At 51.2% G+C, this 24,122-nt stretch overlaps 1 protein-coding gene across 3 annotated transcripts in view, besides 6 other annotated features; it reads right to left on the reverse strand.

The window, feature by feature from the left end:
* Nucleotides 1–24,122, reverse strand: part of STK40 (serine/threonine kinase 40) — a 46,297-nt gene that overhangs the window by 9,517 nt on the left and 12,658 nt on the right. Inside the window, exons 2-7 of one of the 3 annotated variants that reach the window (NM_032017.3) lie at nt 18,704–18,940; nt 12,077–12,196; nt 9,593–9,678; nt 9,095–9,238; nt 6,062–6,289; nt 5,220–5,272 (exon numbers count right to left, since the gene is read on the reverse strand). In NM_032017.3, the coding sequence (NP_114406.1) occupies nt 5,220–5,272; nt 6,062–6,289; nt 9,095–9,238; nt 9,593–9,678; nt 12,077–12,188 (623 nt within the window). In that variant the 5' untranslated portion in view covers nt 12,189–12,196; nt 18,704–18,940. Of the gene's footprint in view, nt 1–5,219; nt 5,273–6,061; nt 6,290–9,094; nt 9,239–9,592; nt 9,694–12,076; nt 12,197–18,703; nt 18,941–24,122 lie in introns of all 3 variants that reach the window. The other 2 variants (NM_001282547.2, NM_001282546.2) reach the window with 2 other exon arrangements.
* Nucleotides 283–412: an enhancer, noted in NCBI's record as "active region_751". NCBI's record gives its function as "activates an Ori minimal core promoter by ATAC-STARR-seq in GM12878 lymphoblastoid cells {active_cell/tissue: GM12878}" and the evidence as "EXISTENCE:reporter gene assay evidence [ECO:0000049][PMID:35858748]".
* Nucleotides 8,529–9,029: an enhancer, noted in NCBI's record as "H3K4me1 hESC enhancer chr1:36823274-36823774 (GRCh37/hg19 assembly coordinates)". NCBI's record gives its function as "activates a minimal SCP1, AML or CMV promoter by ChIP-STARR-seq in primed H9 embryonic stem cells {active_cell/tissue: H9 hESC(primed)}" and the evidence as "EXISTENCE:reporter gene assay evidence [ECO:0000049][PMID:30033119]".
* Nucleotides 19,950–20,618: an enhancer, noted in NCBI's record as "H3K27ac-H3K4me1 hESC enhancer chr1:36834695-36835363 (GRCh37/hg19 assembly coordinates)". NCBI's record gives its function as "activates a minimal SCP1, AML or CMV promoter by ChIP-STARR-seq in primed H9 embryonic stem cells {active_cell/tissue: H9 hESC(primed)}" and the evidence as "EXISTENCE:reporter gene assay evidence [ECO:0000049][PMID:30033119]".
* Nucleotides 20,619–21,286: an enhancer, noted in NCBI's record as "H3K27ac-H3K4me1 hESC enhancer chr1:36835364-36836031 (GRCh37/hg19 assembly coordinates)". NCBI's record gives its function as "activates a minimal SCP1, AML or CMV promoter by ChIP-STARR-seq in primed H9 embryonic stem cells {active_cell/tissue: H9 hESC(primed)}" and the evidence as "EXISTENCE:reporter gene assay evidence [ECO:0000049][PMID:30033119]".
* Nucleotides 22,936–23,499: an enhancer, noted in NCBI's record as "H3K27ac-H3K4me1 hESC enhancer chr1:36837681-36838244 (GRCh37/hg19 assembly coordinates)". NCBI's record gives its function as "activates a minimal SCP1, AML or CMV promoter by ChIP-STARR-seq in primed H9 embryonic stem cells {active_cell/tissue: H9 hESC(primed)}" and the evidence as "EXISTENCE:reporter gene assay evidence [ECO:0000049][PMID:30033119]".
* Nucleotides 23,500–24,063: an enhancer, noted in NCBI's record as "H3K27ac-H3K4me1 hESC enhancer chr1:36838245-36838808 (GRCh37/hg19 assembly coordinates)". NCBI's record gives its function as "activates a minimal SCP1, AML or CMV promoter by ChIP-STARR-seq in primed H9 embryonic stem cells {active_cell/tissue: H9 hESC(primed)}" and the evidence as "EXISTENCE:reporter gene assay evidence [ECO:0000049][PMID:30033119]".

Raw genomic sequence — 24,122 nt, forward strand, 5'->3', positions numbered from 1 at the left:
TTTCTCAAAAACAGCCTCACGTAATATTCTAGACTGGGAGTGACCTGAGATTTAGTTCAATTTCCTCATTCACACATGAGGAAAAGGAAGTCCAGCAGAGGTGAGTGACTCCACCTTGGAAGGTGACCCAAGGGCTGGCCCCGAGCCACCTCCGAACCACGGAATATGTCAGTTCTCACTTGGCCCCACAACCACTGCAGAGGAAGAAACTGACAGTGGCCAATGAGGGGGATTTTCTCACGGTCCTGTTTCAGATGATACAACAAAGGCACAGGGAAGTGAAAGGACTTGGCCAAGGTCATGCAGCTGGTGAGCAGAAGAGCAGGATCCAAGACCAGGTCTGCAGGGCCCCAGAGCTGCACACACAACTGACAGCTGCCTCATGCCCAGATGTGTCCCTGGGCAGGGCCCCAGGCCCCGAATGACTTTTCCTTCTGTTCCATCAAAGCTGACTCATCCCTTACCTCGTACTTGTGACTCTGCCCTGGCTAGAACATCACAGACCCTCCCTCTGAAAGGCGTGGGGCAGGGCAGCTTTGGGCTCTGATCCTTTGGAGAAAACTCACATGTGGACAAAAGGAAGTGCCCCGAGAGGACCCTTACACCTTACACCACACTGGGGGCTGGGAGGGTGGGCAGGCCCTGTCTAAGAGGCCTGGGAAAGGTTTCCTGGCCCACTGGGGCAGGCAGTGAGGAAGGATGCCTCTCTACCCAACTGCCCTGCTCCTGTGTCGGCTGGCTGGGTGGAGAAGCTAGGGGGAGAAGCTGGGAGGACAACAGGAAGGAGAGCTCCATGGGGGCCTTGGGCTGCCTCTCCCTACAATCAGCTCTCAGAGGCAGAGGGCATGTGTGGCTGCTGGCGGATTTCCCCGGGAGCCGCATCCAGGCGGCTCTGAGAGCCCTCGGTGATCTCGGGGAATTCTGCTGGCAAAGGGCTCGATGCAAAACAAAGGCCAGCCCGTCCTCTGGATTCCCCACGGAAACGCCAACTCCAGCGCCTATACAGGTCCGCCCTGTCAGCTGCCATAGGAGTCTGACTGGTGGCCCGCAGGCGGCTAGAGCCTGATCGCACAGGTGAAGGGTCACTGCAAAGGGTCACTTGCACGTCAAGGAGTGGGCTGCTCTAGCTCTGAAGCTCCAGTGCCGCTGCCCTGAATATGGGGCTGCTCGGGCCTCTTGTCCAGAAGGTTCCCACAGAGCAGAGGCACTGTGGGTTTTCTCCCCTGGTCAGAGATGGCCGCGGAAGCTGCAAATGCATCCTGTGGGTCTCTGAGGCTCAAGACGCTGAGAGGAGGACAGCTCAGGAGAAAGTACGGTGGGTTTGGGAGCCAGGTTCCTAGTCCTGGCTCTGCCACTTCCTTGCTCTGTGAATCTCTTGCTAAACCTCAATTTCCTCATGCGTACAACAGTGAAATCCCAGCACCAAACTCCAGAACTGGGTTAGGATTCAGCAAGATAAGATAATCTCATGGAGGGCACTTAGCCCAATGCCTGGCAAATAGTAGAAGCTGGTGTCCTCTCATCTCCGATGGTTGGCACACCTGGTAGGAAAAGACTCTGTCTTGGAGGCGGTAGGGGAGAGGTGCCATGGTGTGACAACAGGCCCCGGAGAGCACATGCCAGTGTGGCTGAGCTTTCAACTCAACACTGCTGGTGGGACTTTCCCACCCTCTGCCAGGGCACGGGCAGGCACAGCTGAGGCTCTGCAGGGCTGAGCGGCAGGCGCACTGGAGTCTCTCCACAGGAAGTGGCACGGGCAGCTCCAAGTCCTCCTGAGGTTTGGCAACACTCCCCTGCCCTGCCACCACCACCCAAGTGGGGGGTGCATGGCTCCCCGGGAGTCCCAGACCCCCTAGTCTGGTCCTGACAGGAGGGGGCAATGGCAGAGTGGGACGGAGGGAGGGGACGTGTGTCAGTAGGATCGGCTCTGAGTGAGTCACGCTTTAGCTATGGCCCTCTGGGCTGCCACAGTGTTTTTCTCCTTTTCTAGGAACTTGGTATGTTGCTTGCCTACCAAAAAGAAAGGAGGAAGGAAAAAGACCCCACAGCACCTCACATAACCCCAGAAGAGGATTTCGAATTTCGATCCTTTTAAAATCCAAAGCGGGGTGAACTTGTTGTTGCAGCTGCCTTGCCAACACCTCCCCCTGTCTGCTCCTTGAGAGCTCTCTGCTCTGCTGAGAAGGCCTCCAGCTGGTCCGCCTACTGCTCCAGTGGAGTTATAGCCTGGCATGATGGGTGGGAAGGGGCTGGAGTGGGCTGGAGCTCCTTCAGGTCAACTGAACGAGGTGAGAGTGGGGCCCCAGAGCGGAGGGTGTGCCAGAGGACACACACGGAGCAGTGAGTCTCTCTGCACCACACTACCCTGCCACTCTGGAGCGCCCATGACTCAAGTAAAAGGCAGCCAGAACCTCTGTCTGCCCTGAGACACAAAAAGGGGGATTTATCAGATTCAGGAAGTACAACCAGGACACTGGGTATGAGTGAGGCATTGGCATTCTGCACCCTGAGGAGCACGCACTCACACTCACAGCAGAGCTGCTACAGCCACGCCGGCGTATGCAGGGAGGTGCGACCCCTCGACTACACTCCCAGGACCAAGGGGCCCTGGGGAAGTGAGAGTTGGAAGCAAATCCCCCAGTGACACAAAGGGCCAGGAGTGCTGGTGTGGTTAGCAGGCATGAGCCCGGCAAGTTCCCATGACAACCCTGGGATGTTCATTTACAGCCAATGAATGGCTGCTGTGGAAGGTCTGGGAGCTCTCTAGTCCAGCTGGAGGGCACATGGGCTCTGCAGCCAGATGGATTTAGGTGCCCAAAAAATATGCTCTCTCTTTGTGAACAGTAAGCCTGTAGTCCACAGCAGGATGGGACTGGCCCAAGGCCCCAGAGAGGGCCAGGGGAAGGGGCAGGACCCAATTTCCCAACTTTATGACAACTGGCTCTCCACAGCCCAGGGCTGGTTTGCTCGGGGCTCCCCACCACCTCCTCTCATGATGCAGAGCTATGGCTGGGGGACCGCTGGGCCCTCACCAGGGGTGTCCTCGTTGGCCACTCAACATGCAGCAGGCCTCATCTCCAGAGATGTGAGCCCATGGGTCCTGTTCTCCTGTCTCTCAGCGACAGGCTCTCCAGTCCTGGCTACATTAGCACTGGGGTGTGCCCGTGATGCGCCAAACCCCATCATATTACGCAGCCTCACACCCACTGATTTGCATCTCAGGCCAATCTTCCCAGGAAGCCAGGATGACCTTCACTTTCACAGATGAGGAAATGGAAGCTCAGAGAAGTGCTTGGTACCTCAATATATGAATTCAATCAGTAAGTACCCAGAGGACCACACTCTCACGGTCTCCAAGATAACGAAGAAGTGGCACTGGGAAGTGAGCCAGGTCTGACCCCCATGTCAGTGCTGCTTCCGTCCTCCTCAACTCACTCACTCAGCCAGTCCAGGGTTCAAGCAGCTCTGGAATTTCCTGTTTCCCTCCCTTCCCCCTGCAGAGCATAGCAGGGCAAGGTTCTCATCCCTTCACTTTCTCAGCCTGGCAAATCCCAACTCATCCTTCACGAATTGACTCAGGTGGCAGCCACTGTCCCTCCACATGTCCCTTGCCCTCTGCACGCCAGTCCTCCACACATGATACCATCTTCTGGTCAGTACACCATCAGATGGTGGGCTCCAGAGGGTAGTGGGAACCACTGAGCGTTTCTGTCTGCAGCCCCAGCACCAGGTGGTGCTAGTCGAAGGATGGAGAATGCTTAGCAGCTGAGGTGCACAGCATCGTCCCGATGGCCTCTCAGGCTGGAGCTATGGGATCTGGAACCCCCAGCAGTAATTCCCCATCAGTTGAGATGGGGCACAAGGCAATGCCCCCTCCCCGGAGGCCAACCTCCAGGCAGCTTCTTTTCCTCTGACCACTGTGGCTTTGGCCTCTTTAGAGGACAGTGGGCCTCGGGCCCTTCCTGGGCTGGGCTGGCCACATCATGGAATGAATCACCCACCACAACACTTCTGCTGTGAGATTCAGGCTGCCTTTGTAAGCCCTTCAACCTGCTCAATGCCGAGTTGAGAGGTGACAGAGGGGAGCTCAGAAATAATGGGTGGGGGCGGAGTGGGGGAGATGTGCCCTTCTCAGCCCTGCATTTCAAGGATCATGGTAGCCCACAGAGTGGGCCCACTTCCTGCTGGTCCTGGGTTCCTACATGGTTGGTGGTCCCTCTAACATGGTGAGACAGTGGTAGCACTGTCCCAGATCACTCCAAAGAGGCCCAGGACCCTCTGTCGAGGCGGGATGACAACCTGAAACCAGGGCCGTGCTTGGTGTCCCTCTGCTGCTGGTTCACCCCAACAAGGGTGGGCCGCCAGATCCCCTCCAAGTCTAAGGCATGCTCTCCTTGCTGCTGAGAGAGCTGGTGGCATTTTACAGGTAACCACTCACAGCTGCATCCCTCTCCAGGAGGCCCTCTTAGCCAAAAGAAGCTGCCTTGCCTAAGAGAATGCCCCTCCCTAAGGACAGCAGACATTCAGTGACTGATTGCTGTGGGGGCACAAAGGCCAAGCGCGGGCCATCTGCAGGCCATCCCACTCTCGAGTTTTTCAGGCTGAGGCCCTGCTGGGACTTCACTGCGGTTCAGCTTCTCCCTCTGCCTAATTCCACCCCCTCACCCTGAGAGCACTTCACAGTAAACCTTCTGCACGTAAACCTCAGAGTCTGTTTCCTGAGGAAATTGACCTATGGCAAGGCATCATTTTGCTCGTTCCTTCACCCCATTTGTCCATTCAAAAAATATATATATTTTTGTAGAGATGGGGTCTTCATTATGTTGCCCAGGCTGGTCTCAAACTCCTGGGCTCAAGTGATCCTCCCGCCTCAGCCTCCCAAAGTGCTGGGATTACAGGCGGGAGCCACCGCACCTGACCATTTAGTCCATTTTTATAGTAATTTTATGAGTACCCACTAGGAGCCAGGTGTGACAAATAAATGGACAAGGGAGATCTAAAGTTCTTCCCAGAGCTCCCTTTCTGTGGCTCAAAACTCCCAGTCTCAGCAAGCCCCCAATTCCCATGTTCATCCCATCCCGAGCCCTGGGATTCCTGGAGGAAGTGGGTTGTTTTGAGTCGGAATCCTCATGAGGACACTTCAGGGCACTGGAGAGTTGCAATGTGTAGCCTGCCCCAGCCCCGGGGTAACTGTATGGATGTAGAGACAGGGATCTTACCTCTTGTTGAGCACCATGTTCCCCAGCTTCAGGTCTCTGTGCACGATATTTTTCTGTAAAACAACAGGCGTATGGTTTACATTGTCAATGTGAGAGGTGGGGTCAGGGCCCACCCTGTAAGATGGGGGCTCTCCAGGTGTTCGAGAAGGCAGGAAAAATTCTATGATGTGTCTCTTTAGGCTCCAAGCACAGGCAGATCAGGACAGTTCTAAGTTCGCGTGACCTGCGCGTCTGGATGGGGAATGAATGTGCACCTAGTCAGTGTCTCCCCATCTGTGGCAGCTTCTTTAGCTCTTTCTCCCCTCAGGGCAGTGGCTGGTGGCGAAAGTCACTCATTTTTTCCCCTCCATTAGACATTCCATGGACAGGATGGATCTGGGGGTCGGGGAGGAGCTGTCATGGCTTTGTGACTAAGTACCACAGGCTCGGCCCACAGAAGCGGCACACCGGGAAGAGGCTCAGGCTCTCCTATCCTTTGTCCCAGCGTGCCTGACACCTCTAATCCTACAAAAAGCTCAGATGTGCTGTAGTTGCTTGGGTGGGTATCTCACTGTCATCACTACATGGGGGTGGACACCAGGCCTCTTAACTGATGGGGAATTAACACAGTTGGCTGTGGTAATTACCACAGCTGGGCTGCAGGTCAGCCCTCACCAGGAAGGTGGCCTGCAGGGTGGCACTGTGCCTCACCCTGTGCACCTGCCATTCAGTCACTCTTCTTTTGGACACTCCCAGCTGCAAAGCACACCTGGGTGCACAGGACAGAGCTGCCTTCTGCTCAGCAGCAGCAAGAAAGGTGGCTTTCTGTGGCCAGAAGGCGCAGCAGCAGGGTGTGGCCTCACCTGGTGCAGGGCCTCCACCACGCGGACCACGTCGTAGAAGATTACCACAGTCTCCCTCTCGCTGAGCCTCTTCTCCTTGATGACGTAGTGCTGCAGGTTGATGAGGTCAGCGGTCTTATCGCTGAAGTCATGAGCACAGAGGCAGTCCAGGACGAGGCAGATGCGCTTCTTCATCTTCTTAACCATCCGGCTGGATTCTGTGTCCTCAACGATTTCACAGGTGCGGTCCTGGGAGGCAAGGGGGTAGCGCAGGGCTTGGCTGTGAACTTGGCAGGGCCAAGGCCAGGGCCTGGGACTCTCCTCTGGAGTGGGACACTCAAACCAGTGAGGGAGCCTGGAATTAGCCTGCATGTGCGGGCCAGAGAGGACTGAGGCCTGGGCAGCCTAGACCATGGGGCAGGTCAGCACTGTGCAGCCTCTTGTGTGCCAAATGCCAGGACCAGCAAGAGGCTGAAGCTAAAACATCTCAGGTGAAGGCTTAATGCTTTGATCATAATGCAAAGGATTCAGATCAGGTCTGGGCATTTAGAGCCCAAGGGCCCTCTTAGCCCAGTGCTCAAGCAGCAAAAATGGGAATCCATGGCACCCAGATTCCAGTAATCACCAACAGAACCCCCTTTTGATATCTAAGATGGCGGAAGTTAGAAAGAGGTCAATCTTGGCAGGCTCCAGAGGCCATACAGGTTCTGTGTATCCAGGACACCTGTTTTCCTCAAGTGCCTTCCTGCTTTCCTCTTTTCTCAGAAAAGAGGACTGTCGGGATGCAGTACTCCCGACAGTCACATGATGGCTAAGAGTGACTCTGACCTCAGACTGCTGGGTTCAGGCCCCAGCCACCTTGTCTTAGCTGTGGGACCTGGGGCAGTCTGCTTACCCTCTCCAGGTCTCTAGTTCCTCATCGGTAAAAGGGAGCTAGTAATCTTTCCCCCACAGCCCAAGAGAAGTAAATAAGACAATCCATGTCCTGTGCTTAGGTCATGCACTGCCAGGGCTCAGTAAGTGGGTACTGCCACCAATGTTGTGGCTGCGAGATGGACACAATGGTAGCAAACTCTAGACCCATTTTCCTTGCTGAAAGGTATTTCGAGTAAGACAAAAAACAGGGGGACTTCATCTGACCAGCTTGAGGAAGTCCTTGGTGTCATGCGGGGTAGACTGACTGTCCCCTCTGGGGAACTCCTGAAGGACTGAATATCCACATTTCTTCTTTTTCTTTTTTTTTTTTTTTTTTTTTTTGTGAGACGGAGTCTCACTCTGTTGCCCAGGCTGGAGTGCAGTGTCACGCTCTCGGCTCACTGCAAGCTCTGCCTCCCAGGTTCATGCCATTCTCCTGCCTCAGCCTCCCGAGTAGCTGGGAATACAGGTGCCCACCACCATGCCCGGCTAATTTTTTGTACTTTTAGTAGAGATGGGGTTTCACCGTGTTAGCCAGTATGGTCTCAATCTCCTGACCTCATGATCCGCCCGCCTTAGCCTCCCAAAGTGCTGGGTTTACAGGCATAAGCTACCTCGCCCGGCCTCCACATTTCTTCTTAAGAGCAGGACCACACCTCATATTTGCTTTTCCTAGCACAGTGTCTGGCACACAAACAGTACACTAGAAACACTTCTGATCACCCAGGTTCTCTCATCCAAAATGACATGAACTAAGGCCAAGCTTCTGAAGATATCACAGACAAAATACCAAGAAACCACAATCACCCTCAATTTGATTTCATGTTTATGGGGATACTCTAATTTTTGGAGTTGCCTAAAAATACTCTGAGTCACCTCTAATTGCAAATCTAAGAACAAAGACCTTGCTGGGGTGTATACATGGGGATGGGAAGTGTTTTCCCTTTGTTTTATTTTAGGAACTCAAGCTGACAAGGAGTTTTTATGCCTGAACAGCAATGATGATGACAGTGTTCCAGCAGCAGCTCAGTGCTTGACACAATCTCATTCATCGTCCCAACCACCAATGGAGGTAGGTACTGTTATCACTATCCCCATTTTATAGATGGGGAATCTGAGGCCTAGAGACCTTAAGTGACTTGCCCAAGGTCATACTAGCTGAATCCAGGACTGTCAGCATCAAAATGTGACTGCTCTCTCTGGCACTGTGTGCCTCTCAAACAGCAGGTCTGTCTTAGCAAGAGCTGGTCCTGGCCAGCAAACGGCTGAGGGCTCAGTGGATGCTCAGCTGAGGAATGGGGCTGTTCCCAAGCCTGTGAAGGAGGCCTCCCAGTCATTCTGAACCCAACTCTTCATTTCTGGAGATACAACTTCAGTGCTGCCCCAAGAATGGTTCTTGTCAGGTACACACTGTTAATCAATACCTTTCCTAAGGGATCTGACCACCTGTTCTTCTGCCTGCTCAGGCATTTCAGTTTGTCCAGTAAATGTCTCAAAAAAAAAAATTTTAAAAAAAAGGACAAGGGGGCCCTTTTGAGATGGAGTCTCGCTCTGTCACCCAGGCTGGAGTTCAGTGGCACAATCTTGGCTCACTGCAACCTCCACCTCCCGGGCTCAAGCGATTCTCCTGCCTCAGCCTCCCGAGTAGCTGGGACTACAGGTGTGCGCCGCCATGCCCAGCTAATTTTTGTATTTTTAGTGGAGACGGGGTTTCACCTTGTTGGCCAGGATGGTCTCGATCTCCTGACCTTGTGATCTGCCCACCTCGGCTTCCCACGTTGCTGGGATTACAGTTGTGAGCCACCGTGCCTGGCCTGGGCCCGGGTGTCTTTAAGTGACTTCTTGCTTTCCTCTTTTCTCGGAAAAGTGGCTCTTCAAAGAAAGCCTGGCTGCTGTTAAGATGCAAACTGTGTGCATTCCTGGCTAGGCTATAACCATCCCCACAGGAGCACAGCTAGTGTGGCCCAGCCTGACTTCCAGCCCAGCCCATCTCACCCACCCTGGAAGTCCTGATGTACCTAGCATGGCAGGGACACCCAAGGGTCACGTGAGCTGCTCGTATGGCTGTGGCCCCAGCAAGTGGCAGCCCACAGAGCCAGCCAGAGGTGAGCGCGAAGGGTGAGGGGGAAGGCCGCTCACCTGGAAGAGGCCGTGGTGGTGCACCACGCCATCCTGCGTGTGCAGGAGAGACAGCAGTGAGTACTCGGTGTGCAGCAGCATCTTGCCCTGCCGCTCTTCCTGGCTCTCTATGCCTTGGTCCCCCCTCTCCTCCAGGGTCAGGATCTTTAGGAAAGCATAAAAATAAAACCAAAACCAGAACACCTCACTTTACACAGCAGAACAACCAGAACGGGGGAAGCAGGGGGCTTTTTACCACATGACATTTGTGCACAATGCACACACAAACACACCAAGTGAAATCGTTTTTCTTAATATGATGGTGATGTAATTTATGCACAGACAAAACTCTTTAAATCAGAAGTTGTTCTGAGGGAGACTGTGAACTTGATTGCTTCTCGGGAAGAAATGGCGCTACTCTTGTTCACAATGACGCAGGTGTGAAGGTGGAGGAGGGAGGAGTGGGTTGGCATGACAGGCCCTGTTCCTGAGGCACCCTCACCCCCATGTCTCACTTACCTTCAGCTGATAGAAGTCATCCGTGCCATCTTTCCTCGCCAAACACTGCACTATGCTTGGCACCGGTGAGTTGCCCAGACGGGGACCTACGGCACAGAGAGCTGCTGGTCTACTTTTCAGAAGCCCTGGCTGTCACGACGCCAGGTCACCACGTGGTCTTTTACTAGACCTTCTATTCAGGAGGGCACCATAGCTCATGTGTACTGGACTGACCCTCCAAGGTCTCCTGGTGGAGAGTTTTCAAGGTCTCCCCTCCAAAAATAGAGGGGTATGTGTGCTCTGCCTGGAGCACATCCAGCTTTTGCAAACACATTTCCCAAAGAGAGGTTTTCAACCCTGGGTGCACGCTGGAATGTCTAGTGAGCATCTATTAAAAACAAGAGATCCAGGCTGGGTGTGGTGGCTCACACCTGTAATCCCAACACTTTGGGAGGCTGAGGTGGGAGGACTGCTTGAGCCCAGGAGTTTGAGACCAGCCTGGGCAACACAGTGAGACTTCTTCTCTACAAAAAATAAAATATTGGCTGAGCATGGTGGAGCATACCTGTAGACCCAGCTACTTGGAAGGCTGAGGTGGGAGGATCGTTTGAGCCCAGGAGGCTGAGGCTGCAGTGAACTGTGTTTGTGCCACTGCACTCCAGCCAGGGCAACAGAACAAAGCCCTGCCTCAAAAAAATCAACAAAACCCAAGAGATCCTGGATCCCCTGAAGAGCAACTTCAGGGTGAGGATCCAGGAAACTAGAGCCGCAACAGGTTCCCTGGAGATTCTGATACAGCCATCTGGCCCCTGTCCAAGTGCCAGCTTTGGGGACTTTCTGTACTTCTGGAGATGCACAGTGCTCACTGTCCCGTGACAGCACCTTGCCCAAGCTTTGAGAGTGGAAATCTGATGTCACAGTGCCACTGCTGCGTGAAAAACTCTTAACGAAGCTCCGCTGCTCTTGGTTTTCCTTTTTACCAGTGCAATGTTCACAGACCCACTGCTCTTAACATACCACCCAAACTCCTTTGTCTGGCCCCCAAGGCCTTGCATGATTCAGTTCCCGCCCACCTTTCTAACAGGATGTTCCATTCCCTGTCCCATGCCACACTCCAGCTCCTAATGTTGGGCTCCTAGTTCCCAACATGGTAAGCCCTTTCCTGCTGCTGGGCCTCTGCAGTGCTGTTTCTTCTGTCTGCAATGTTCTTCCCCAGCTTTCCCCACAGTTGCTGCTTCTCCTCCTCAGGTGTCAGCTCATATGGTGTTTCCTCATAAACAGGCCTTTCTTGCCTGCCCTACCTACGGGCCCTTCTCATCTCACGTCATCGTGGAACTTCCTTCAAGGCACTTGCACCACCGGTGATGACTGGTGAGTTGTTTACTCTGTTTCTCTGTGAGGGCAGGAACTTGTCTTATTCACTGCTGCATGCCTGGCAAACAGCACAGGCCTGGCAAACAGCACAGGCCTGGCACGTAGTAGGTACACACCATTAAGTATGTACTGAATGACTGGAGCTGGAACTATCCTGAGCCTGTAAGTCCAAAATGCTGTCCCAAAGTAAAACTCACGCCCAGTCTCTGGCTGCAACCCTGACTATAAGCAATTTGGACTGCTGGTCCTTATGCATCATGCAGAAATGCTTTGCTGCTCCTCTGGCCAACTGCCAACACCTGTGCCAGGATTTCTGTGCCAATTTAAATAAATTTGGGGGGCTATACAAAATGCTTTGTGAAATTATGCCATCCAAGAATGGCATAAAGCAGTGCCTTGGATGATAGATCTTGGGTTTTCATTTTATTTTATTTTATTTTATTTTATTTTATTTTATTTTTTTAGAGAGAGAGTCTCGCACCGTTGCCTAGGCTGGAATGCAGTGGCGTGATCACGACTCACTGTAACCTCAAACTCCTGGGCTCAAGTAATCCTCCTGCCTCAGCCTCCCAAGTAGCTAGGACTACAGGCATGTGACACCACACCCAATTAATTTTTATATTTTTCTAGTAGAGATGGGATCTCACTATGTTGCCCAAGCTTGCAAAGTCTTGAACTCTTAGCCACAAGTGATCCTCTCACCTCAGCCTCGAAAAGTGCTGGGATTACATAAGTGAGCTATTGCACCTGGCCAGAGCTTGGGTTCTAATGCAGCTAATGACTTCTAATGGGTGTGCTTCCTGTGAGCACGTCACCATTCTAGGGGCACACATAGGATTCTCTGGGGGGAGAGTCGGAGCCTAGCTATTGGCTAAGGCTGATCTAAGGCTGGTATGGCTAAAACACTGACAGCCCCTGGTACAGAGTGACCCAAGGCTTGGGTCTTCCACTGATATAAACATATTCTGTTTCAAGTAGTGAAGCTAGGGACCAAGCCTGGGGCAGGGCAGGACCACACACTGCTGTGGGTGGGCCACCTCACTCTGATGTCTGTAGGTCAGATCATGCGAGCCAATGTGCCCTGCCCCTGCCTCCCAGCCCACCCATTTTTCCCAAAGGTCAGAGGCTTACCAAGGATGAATGGTCCAGCTCTCTTTGCATTATTTCCAGAAATCCCACTTCCTAGAGCCTTGGCCCTGGCCGACGTTTCCCCAGCTCCTCTGTCTGATGCTCTCCGCTTCATTCTCAGCTCTAGACAAGACAGAAAGACCCCTTCTCACTGAGTAAGTCAGCGAGTTTCCTTATGCTAACCCAGCCTGCAGGCCTTTGACTTGGGATGCATCACACAGCTGCCGCTGCTGCCTCCAACTCCTCCTGCTACCAGGGGAGCATCCAAGGCTCCAAGTGACAAAGAACCACAGCTCCTTTACTTGGGATTAATTAGATGCTAAAGGTGGACATCCTTTAAGGCAGCATATACAGGGTACAGAGGCGGGGAGCCAACACACCACCACCAAGTGGCCAGTTAAATTCAGAGAGGAGAAAACTGGGCTTTGTGCAGATGCTAATGCCAAACAGAGCCCCAAGAGACTACCACAGAGACAGAGAGGAGAGCCAGCCCCATCCAGCTGAACCCCAGCCCTGAGGTGAGCAACTGTTCCCAAAGTGAGACCTGCCCTCCAAATACCTACAGCCTAATGACCCGAGGTGCCCATTCCTGGCCCGTATCTGGACAGTGGGCCCCAGGAATGGGATGCTTGTTACACGAGGCCTGGGGGCTTCTTATGCCCACGGAGTTTGATGACTACAGCCCTGAGAACCCCTCTCCCCATCTTTCCTTGACTCTCTGGTCCTCTCAGATGAAAGAACCCCCCAAAGTTGTCAATGGCAGGGTTTACTTTCTCTTCCCTCATAAACTCAAACTTTTCCTGAATTACTTTTCAGAAAAAGAAAATTCATTGTGTATTTAAGAGTCAGTTAAAGAACACTACTGAAGATCACTGAGCACTCTGATTTGCCTGATAATCCCGAGATCCTCCTGCGTAAAAATGAAAGGCGGACATTGGGGCCAGAGGCTAAAAGACACCTCTGGACACAGATTTAAAAATAACAGATAAAAACACAAAAGAGGAGTTGTCTCTTCCAGCTCTCCAAAGTCAAACACCTTGGCAAAGCAGGATCCGGGGGGGACAAGGAAACAGATGTGTACAGACGAGTTCCACATGGGGAAGGTCAGGGTCACAGGATGCCCAGTGTGGGTGCAGGGCTCCGGGAAAATTTCCCTAAGGATACAGGAGTGGGCCAGGCAAGGGGCAAGGACCTTCATGGTAGGAGGGCCTCAGTGAGCAAACATGCCCAGGTAAGAAATGGCATGCAAGCCACCAACGCCAGGTAGTTTGTGTTGCTGAAGCATCCAACGCGAGGCAGGGAGTGGTGAGAGGTGGCCCAGGATAGAGGCCTGACACCCACCTTAGGAGTGTAGCCTTTACCCTTCCATAATGGACTCAAAAACACAGAACTCCAGCCTGTTCCTGTATTTTTCTTCATATAAAAGTAACTGATGTTCTCTGCAGAAACATTAGAAAATACGCATGTGCAAAAATAAGAAAATAAGGTACCCATGACCTTACCTCCCAGATATAACTGCTGTTAACATTCAAGCATGTTTTTCCTGTGTGTGACTGTGTGTATGCTTATATAAAGTTTTATTATTACAAACATGTGGACCACACTGTAATGCTATTTTATGTTTCCTTTTTTCCCACCTAAAATACATTAAGGGAGGTCTGGCGCATTGACTCCATGCTTTTAATCCCAACACTTAGGGAGGCCGAGGTGGGTGGATCACCTGAAGTCAGGAGTTCAAGGCCAGCCTGGCCAACATGGTGAAACCCCGTCTCTACTAAAAATACAGAAATTAGCTGGTCCTGGTGGTGCACACCTGTAATCCCACCTACTTGGTGGCTGAGGCACGAGAATCGCTTGAACCCAGGACACGGAGTCTACAGTGAGCTGAGATCACGCCACTGCACTTCAGCCTGGGCAACAGAGTAAGACTCTGTCTCAAAAAAAAAATTAGCTGGGCATGATGGTGGGCGCCTGTCTCGGGAGGCTGAGGCAGGAAAATCGCTTGAACTGGGGAGGCGGAGGTTGCATGAGCTGAGATGGCGCCATTGTACTCCAGCCTAGGGGACACAGCAAGACTCCATCTTAAAACAAACAAAAACCATTAAGGATAAATTGTATAGTATGTGAAATACATCTCAATAAAGCTGTAAAAAACAAAACAAAAACCCATTAACATCCCTGCATCACAATATTCTTTTGCAACATCACTTGAGATAGCTACACAGGCTCCTTGGTACAAATATACAGTGATTTCTCTGACCATTCCCTATTTATGGACATCTAGGTTCTTTCCATTTAAAAAGAATTAGCCGGGCGCAGTGGCTCACGCCTGTAATACCAGCACTTTGGGAGGCCGAAGCGGGCGGATCACCAGGTCAGGAGAGCGAGACCATCCTGGCTAACACTGTGAAACCCCGTCTCTACTAAAAATACAAAAAAAAAAAAAAATTAGCTGAGCATGGTGGCGGGCCCCTGTAGTCCCAGCTACTTGGAAGGCTGAGGCAGGAGAATAGTGTGAACCTGGGAGGCGGAGCTTGCAGTGAGCCCAGATCACACCACTGCACTCCAGCCTGGGTGACAGAGTGAGACTCTGTCTCAAAAAAAAAAAAAAAAAGAATTAATAGTCACGCACATACAAGTATACATCTTGTCAGCCAAGCGCGGTGGCTCACACCTGTAATCCCAGCACTTTGGGAGGCCAAGGAGGGAAGATCACGAGGTCAGGAGATCGAGACCATCCTGGTTAACACGGTGAAACCCTGTCTCTACTAAAAATACAAAAAATTAGCCGGGTGTGGTGGTGGGCACCTGTAGTCCCAGCTACTCGGGAGGCTGAGGCAGGAGAATAGTGTGAACCCAGGAGGCGGAGCTTGCAGTGAGCTGAGATCGCACCACTGTACTCCAGCCTGGGTGACAGAGCAAGACTCCGTCTCAAAAGAAAAAACAACAACAACAACAAAAATATACATCTTGTCATACTTATCTGTCTCCCTCTGGATAAATTCCAAGAAGCAGAATTGCAGAGTCAAGTGGGGCACATTTAAAAAAAATCCCCATTAGGCTAATACAAGGGGGACATGTTTTTAAGGTATTTGACAGATGCTGCCAGGCTGCTTCCAGGATGGCTGTGCCAATTTACAGTCCAGTGAGTTCCAGAACTTACACCAGGACTGAGTTATTTCCTTACTCTTATAAATGGCTAATTGGGTGGCCAACAAAAAGCATAGCATTTTAAAATCCGTAATTCTTTCATTATTTCTGAGGTTGAATTTGTTTCATATGCTTACTGGCTGTGTCTATTATTTCTTTTATGAATTTCCTTTATATTCTTTTTCTATTTTTTACTGCTATGTATTAGTGTTACTGATTTTTAGAAACTCTTTCTATGTAAGGATGTAACTGACATATAGCTTTTTCATCTTTTTTTTTTAATTAAAAAAATAAAAAGAAATGGTTAAGGGCTGGGTGCGGTGGCTCATGCCTGTAATCCCAGCACTTTGGGAGGCTGAGGCGGGAGGATTGCTTGAGCCCAGGAGTTCGAGACCAGCCTGGGCAACGTTGCGAGACCCATCTCAATAAAATTAATATAACATTTACATTTTTTAAATTAAAATTAAAAATAAGGTTGACTTTTTATGTAGTTAAATATTTCTGTCTTTTCCTTTAGTTTGTTTTTGCTGATACTCCTGGAAGCCGTCTCCTACTCTGAGGACAGGTGTGTCTTCACCAGTAAGGTGAAATCCTCACATGCTATTGTTTTGGTCCTTATTCTTTTTTTTTTTTTTTTTTTTGAGACGGAGTCTCGCTCTTGTTGCCCAGGCTGGAGTGCAATGGCATGATCTTGGCTCACCGCAACCTCCGCCTCCCAGGTTCAAGTGATTCTCCTGCTCAGCCTCCCAAGTAGCTGGGATTACAGGCATGTGCCACCACACCCACCTAATTTTGTATTTTTAGTAGAGATGGGGTTCTTCCATGTTGGTCAGGCTGGTCTCGAACTCCCGACCTCAGGCGATACGCCCGCCTCGGCCTCCCAAAGTGTTGGGATTACAGGCATGAGCACCGCGCCCGGCCTGTTTTGGCCCTTATTCTAAACCCTAGGAGACTGACTATATGTGGTGCACCAGAAAGTAAGAGGGATGATCCATTGCACTGCAGGTCTAATCTACCAGGCTCCCAATTTGTTTTCAGAGCTGTGCCACTGGGGAGCACAGCCATGACTTAATTTTGAGAATAACTAGGATTGTGTAACTCACTGAGCCCCAACAGTCCCCAGATGGAGCAGAAGCCACAGTTAGGCTTGGCTGGGCCTTCTGCCAAAGAGGCTCATGCTGGAAGCAGATTCAGTGTCATTCACATAAAAGCAGAGAAGGGTAAAACTGCTTCTAGAAATATCTTTAAAAGCTGGGCAGTAATGTGTCTGGCACTGTGTTCCTGCTCTTTGCTTGCCTAACTCCTACGCATCCTTCTCAATCTAAGTATCACTTCCTCAGAGAAGTCTTCCTTGATAACCTCATGACCAGTGGGTCCCAGTTAGTCTCACTCATGGTGGTCTGTAATTTTCCTCCATAGTACTTTCCAGATTTTGTAACTATGTATTTATTTGTGTTTATATGCTTAATGTCTGCCCCCCTCCACCAGAAAAATTCCACCACAACTAAAAATTTCACAAGGAAAAACAAATGTATAAACATATATATAAAACCACTGCAGCCCACTGCCAGGCCCAGCAGATACTCCATGAGTGAACGGATACCTTCCCTCCAGCTGGTGACAGTCATTGCCAGGGTCGGCGGCCCTGGGCCTGTCCTGCGCTGCCCACTGCCTCCAATAGTAAGTTGGTATCACCACCCTTCTGATCCTGTTCTCTGTCTTCCCGGGAGCAGTAAGCCACCTCTTTCTTTCCCAGGTCCCTGGAGACCACCATGGAGGCGCGTAACATCTGTGTAGACGCTGCCTACGCGCCTACGCACAGGCATGGTCTAGACAACAGTTTGCAGGGAGCAGCTGCAGCACAGACAATCAGTGGGCTCAGCCTGACCCGCCCCTCCCCCATCTCAGGATTCGACTCAAGCAAATGGCGTGGGAACTGCTCCAAGACACAGGCCGACAGAAGGATGGCAACAGACGCGCAGGGAGATGAAAAAGATGCTTGTGGGGGAAGAGGGAGCAAGGCTGCCTCCCTTCCTGCCACCCCTTCATGCTACCCAGAGTTGACTGAAGCAAAGGAAGCGTCATGAAGAGGCAGGCCCAGAAAACCGGAAGCTGCTGCAGGCTTACTAGTAGGGTGAGCAAAGACACAGCTCCCAGGGACAGACCCCCCTTTCCCTGCCCCATCCTCCAATCATCTGGCTGTGCGTCCCTCCAGAGACACGCCTGCAAGTGGTCCACAAACACTCCTCTAGAGGGCCTGCTCAGAGGGATCCCGGCTTCACAGTGAGATCTGTGATGATGCCCCAGCTACTCTGGTCTCAGGAAGACTGGGAGCCCAGGTCCCCCCAGACACCTGGTCCTCAGGCTGGGGTGCATGGTCCACTACTCGGTGCCCCAGGAACTCAACAGTCCTTGCTTAGCAGTCTCCGGAGCTTTGAATCTGTTAACTCTTCTACATTCTTCTTCTTCTTTTTTTTTTTTTTTTGAGACAGAGTCTTGCTCTGTTGCCCAGGCTGGAGTGCAATGGCGCAATCTCTGCTCACTGCAACCTCTGCCTCCCGGGCTCAAGTGATTCTTCTGCTTCAGCCTCCCAAGTACCTGAGATTACAGGCATCTACCACCACACCCAGCTAATTTTTTTTTTTTTTTTTTGTATTTTTAGTAGAGACAGGGTTTCACCATGTTGGCCAGGCTGGTCTTGAACTCCTGACCTTAGGTAATCCGCCTGCCTTGGCCTCCCAAAGTGCTGGGATTACAGACATGAGCCACCACACCTGGCCAACTCTTCTACATTCTATCCTCACAAGTCAGCACCAGTCCCCTTAGAACCTGAACTCAACAGGAAGCTCAGAGAGGCAACAATGAGGGTGAGGGGAGGAGGCCAGGAAAGAGCAAGAGAGCCCAGCTGGCACTCCGCCGTCCGCAGGCTGTAGCTGTGCCTGATTCTGAAAGCAGGGGGTTCCATTGCTTTGCCAAGCCTGGGGAGCAACTGTGGGCCTCAGTGTGAGAGGGCCTCACCTGTGGGACAGCTCCCACTGCGTGGCCTGAGTAGGGGGTACCTGATCTTACTCTGTCAATTTGGGGCTAAAGTCATCTCACCCTAAAGCTACCAGGCAACGTGAGCCCAGATCTCCCAGCAAGGCAGTGAAAGCCAAGCCATCAGAGCCACATAAGGGTTCCAAGGCTGAAGATGCCCGGAGTCCAGTGGTATAGTGTGACCAGGTCCAGGAAAGCTGGCAGGGATAGCTCTACCCCATGGTTCCACCTGGTAGACACACCAATCTCCATAGGGATGAGGGGTACAAAGATGGCACTGAGCAGATGAAACGCCACCACTGATCTCCCCAGCTCAGTCTGTCCTCATGTCTACCCAACTACAAAGGAGCTGAAGCCTGGCCAAGGCATGGAGGGTCCCCCACTCTACACTGAGAAGCATCCCCACAGGCAGCCACATAGGAGCGCACACATGCTGGCAATTACCTACTTGACATACAGTAAGGGACTGTCCAGGATGAAGAGTCCGCCAGCCTCCCTGAATGGGTCTGTGGTCATGCTCCAGTTGGAGGTGAAGTGTGGGTGGTGGGGAGGAGTCTGGAATTCAGACCTGGTGCCTCCAGCTTAAGATCTCTTGGAGCAGGATTGCGGGAGGAGAGCAGAGCACATATATTGTGCTGTAAAACTTTTACTGCCGAAGGACATAGCTTCTGGGTGTGTGCACTGGTCAAAACAATTGAACAGCACAGTTAAAAGACATGTGAAATCACTGTGTGTAAATATACCTATATTTTTTAAAAGGCAAGCTGCAATCTTAACCAACTGGTCAAAGTTACTATCACCAATAACAGAACAAACTGGCATCACACACCTCCTAACATGATGCCCTTAATAAACATGTACTACTCATGCTATATATATATTTTTTTTCGAGACAGGGTCTTGCTCTGTCACCCAGACTGGAGTGCAGCTTCCACCTGCCAGGCCCAAGTGATTCTCCCACCTCAGCCTCCTGGGTAGCTGAGACTACTGGCACACATTACCATACCTGGCTAATTTTTAAAATGTTTTGTAGAGAGGAGGTCTTGCTATGTTGCATAGGCTGGTCTCGAACTCCTGGGCTAAAGTGATCCTTCCACCTTGGCCTCCCAAAGTGCTAGGATTACAGGCGTGAGCCACCACCCCCAATCTACTCATGCTATTTTTTTTTCCAAAAATGTATAATTTGAATCTAATCATGAAACAAACCCAAATTGAAGGACATTCACAATAGGCCTGTATGTTTCAAAAACATCCATGTCAGACAGTTAAAGAAAAGCTGAAGAATGATTCTAGATTAAAGGAGACTAAAGACATACAACAAAGAAATACAATGGGTGATCTGGGAGAAAAAAGGTATAAAAGACATGATTGGACAACTGGTAAAATCTGAATATAGACTGTTTATTAGATAATAGTATTGTATCAGTTAAATTTCCTGAACTTGCAAATTGCATTGTGGTTCTACAGGAGAATGCCCTTGTTCTTAGGTGATACATACTCAAGTGTTTTGGGGTGAAGGGTCATGAAGTCTGTAACTTACTCTCAGGTCCCCCGAGGCAGAGGAGAAAATCCAGCCTGCTCGAATAGCTCCCAAGACCTGATTCACAGGTTCAGAGGGACCTGTGGCTTGTGGGTACACAGCCCACAGTGGCAGAACTTGCAGTCTCATATATGTTGGGCAGAGCCAGCCTGGCATGAACAGGAATTCAGTCTTTTATGGCCCCCTCTCTTCAACACTGTGCTATTATCAAAGAATTGGTTGGGGGGGCGGGGCCTCCATGCAATCTCCAGGCCTGCCACCTGGTGGTGTCTTTCTGTAGTGCAGCTTCACAGGGTTTTTCTGCACCAGGTGCAGGATGGTGGGGCCCTGCTCTCCTCAGGCTGATCAGGAAGGATGCACTCCATGGGAAGAGCTCACCTCAGCCACCTGTGTAAGTGGGGCTGGGCAATCAGATCCCAGGAGGCTGCCGTCTCTCTGCCTGCTGTGGAGGTCCTCCAAGGGCTCCATGCTCTTCAGGAAGAACCCCAATTCCTCAGTGAGCCTAAGCAGACCTAGAATACTTCTCCAGCCTCACTGCCTTTATATGCACCCTAAATCCAGCCACACCAAATGACACAATCCCGAGTATGCCATGAACACCCCTGCCCCGCCCAACTCTCCCTGGTTGGCACATCCTTCTCCCTTGGTCCTCACTGAAATGTCACCTGCTGCAGAAAGTCTTCACAGAAGGCCTCCTGCCAAAGCTGGCTGCTCCTCCTCCAACCCCCAGAGCACCTGAGTACACCTCCGTCCCCTCCCACTGTGCTGCAACCATTGGTTTATCTGTCTGACTCCCCCATCTCAGGCTGTGGGCTCCCTTGAGGGAGCAACTCCAATCCACCGCTGCCTCCCTGCACCCAGCCCACTGCCTGGCGCAAAGCTGGAAGAGAACACAGTGTGGGGCTGTTTGCTGGGCATCTATAAGGCACCATGGTCCCTGCTGGGGCAGGAGACAGAGGCAGTTGAATAAAGAGGTACAAGGTGTGATTCACAGGAAAACTCTGTCCAAGGAGGGGCCAGTGGCTGGAGTGGGACCCTGAAGAAAGTACAGATGGTCAGACTAGCCAGTATCTGCCAAGTCATGGCTGGAGACAGGGTGCCACAGCTGTAGGTAACTGGGGCTGCACTGGATAGTCTGTCCAGGAAAAGTCCCATGTCAGAAATGCATGAGGCAGAATGGGGACTAGGCTGGCTGATTACCGGGGGTTTTGCTTAGACAGCATTTGCTGCTGGAGAGCAACCCCTACTGAAGAATTAAAACTGTTCATAACATGCCTGCAGCTGTGCAGAAGCCCTCACTGATGAAGGGATGGACCAGGCCCTGTGCGGGAGAATCCCCCAAATCCAGCCAAACGATCTGCTTTCCTGCGGCAAGATGTGGGGAGTGTGTGAGTGGCAGCCTGGCCTGTCCCTTCACACTGGTGACAGGTCCTCCAGGCCACTCCAGGTTTGTGGTGTGAAAGTCCTTCTGCTGGTCAGAAAAATTCCAACCACTTGCGCTTCTCTGAAAAGAGAACTTCTGGCCTAACCATGCATTTATCTGACTACACCTGGGGTGAAATGACAACACTCTAGGTGAGTGATGTGAAATCTGAATGCGCGATGCAACTGAGGTCACCACCCACGCTCTGCAGACCACCCGTGCACACTAGGTGGCTGCCAGGTCTCTTGTAGATTCCTGCGCACCTCTCTGGGTGGTGAATTTCAGACTTAAAACCTGCAAGGGCGGCTCACACTCTCAGATTAACTATCAGAACTAATTTTTACACATGGCTTTATAGTTTACAAAGCATTTGTGAATATAATGATCCCTCAATATCCATGGGGGATTGGTTCCAGGACCTCTGACAGATACCAAAATCCAAGGGTGCTCAAGTCCCTAATATAAGATAATGTAGTATTTGCATATAACCTGTGCATATACTCCCGTACTACACTTTTTTTTTTTTTTTTGATGGAGTCTTGCTCTGTCACCCAGGCTGGAGTGCAGTGGCAAGATGTCGGCTCACTGCAACCTCCGCCTCCTGGGTTCAAGTGGTTCTCATGCCCCAGGCTCCTGAGTAGCTGGGATTACACGTGCATGCCACCATGCCAAGTTAATTTTTGTATTTTTAGTAGAGATAGGGTTTCACCATATTGACCAGGCTGTTCTCAGAACTCCTGGACCTCAAGTGATCTGTCCACCTGGGCCTCCCAAAGTGCTGGGATTACAGGCGTGAGCCACCACACCCAGCCCCATATACTTTAAATCATCTCTAGATTTATAATACCTAATGCAACGGAAATGCTGTGTAGTTACTATACTGTATTAAGAAATAATGACAAGAAGGGCCGGGCGTGGTGGCTCACGCCTGTAATCCCAGCACTTTGGGAGGCTGAGGCGGGTGGATCATGAGGTCAGGAGATCGAGACCATCCTGGCTAACATGGTGAAACCCCGCTTCTACTAAAAATACAAAAAATTAGCCGGGCGTGCTGGTGGGCGCCTGTAGTGCCAGCTACTCGGGAGGCTGAGGCAGGAGAATGGCGTGAACCCAGGAGGCGGAGCTTGCAGTGGGCCGAGATCAGATTGCACCACTGCACTCCAGCCTGGGTGACAGAGCGAGACTCCATCTCAAAAAAAAGAAATAATGACAAGAAAAAACAGTCTGGCTGGGTGCCATGGGTCATGCCTGTGTAATCACAGATCATGTGATCCTGCCACTGTACTCCAGCCTGCGTGACAGAGCAAGACCCTGTCTCCAAAAAAAAAAAAAAAAAAAAAAAAAAAGGACTGCGTGCGGTGGCTCAAACCTGTAATCCCAGCACTTTAGGAGGCCGAGGCGGGCAAATCACCTGAGGTCAGGAGTTCGAGACCAGCCTGGCCAACATGGTGAAACCCCATCTCTACCAAAAATACAAAAAAATTAGCAGGGCGTGGCAGTGTTTGCCTGTAGTCCCAGCTACTTGGGAGGCTGAGGCAGGAGAATTGCTTGAACCTGGAGGTGAAGGTTGCAGTGAGCCGAGATCACGCCACTGCACTCCAGCCTGGGTGACAGAGCAAGACTCCGTCTCAAAAAAAGAAAGAAAGAAAAAAATGTCTGTACATGTTTAGTCCAGACACAAGCATCCTTCTTTGTTCCTGAACATTTTTGATCCGCAGTTGGTTGAATCCACAGACGTAGAACCCACGGATGTGGAGGGCTGGTACATAATGATAACTGATCACCTCCCCACAACACACACACACAACACAAAATTTTCTAGAAAAAGAAATTGAGCCCGGGCACGGTGGCTCATGCCTGTTACCCCAGCATTTTGGGAGGCTGAGGTGGGAGGATCACTTGAGCCCAGGAGTTCAAAGCTGGCACAGCTGGTAGACCCAGCTACTTGGGAGTTTTAGCTTGCTTAGTTTGGAGGACTGCTTGAGCGCAGGAGTTTGAGGCTGCGTGAGCCATGACAGCACCACTCTAGCCTGGGGGACAGAGTGAGACCTTGTCTCAAAAAAAAAAAAAAAAAAAAAAAAAGAAAGAAAGAAAAAGAAAAAAGAAATTGAGACTCAGAGCTGCCTGAAGTCACCTGGCTAGCTGTTGGAAGAGGTGGGATATAAACACAGCTTTTTCAATGCTGAATCCCATATTCTTTTTCCCTGACTGCACTGCTTCCTCAACTGCCCCTTCTCCACCCAATGTCTGCATGGTTCCAGGCATGCCAAGCACAGACTTACTTATAAACAATCATTCTCCTGGAACCAGGGTGCTGTCAAGCCAGAAAGCTGCAGGTGAGCAGGGAGGGAGAGAGGTCATGCTTCCCTCAGAATGAGGCATTTCAGGGGCTGCCGAGCGGGGCCTCTCTGGAGAAAAGGGCTGAGTCAGAGGTGGGTTACTGAGATATCCCTCCACCAGCCAACAGGCAGCATCCCCCACCCTTCCCTGACACAAACACTCTGGGCGCCACCCCTGATGCACTTAATACTCACATGTAGATGCTTCTACCAGGGATACCTACAGACCTGCTCTCCATCCACAAAGGCAGTCCAGGAAACCCAGAGGAATTCACAGCTCAGAGAACCAAGGGTTTCAAGCCATGGACAAGTTACGCAAATGCCAACTGGGATAGCAAGATGGATTTGGGGGTCATGGAGGTCCGGGCTCAAATTTCAACTTCTGACACTCACTTATTTTGTGACTCTACACTAGTCACCTACCCTTCAGGGGCCTCAGTTTCCTCATCTGTAAAACAGAGATGGTAATATGCCTTCACAGGACAGCTGAATGATGCTGTGGCTGGCGGTGTCACCAGGTCTTTGCTGGGTGAAGGGTGGGTGCTCCCTGCTCCGTGCTGA

The sequence above is a fragment of the Homo sapiens genome, chromosome 1, assembly GCF_000001405.40.
Source record: "Homo sapiens chromosome 1, GRCh38.p14 Primary Assembly".
Classification (NCBI taxonomy): domain Eukaryota; kingdom Metazoa; phylum Chordata; class Mammalia; order Primates; family Hominidae; genus Homo; species Homo sapiens.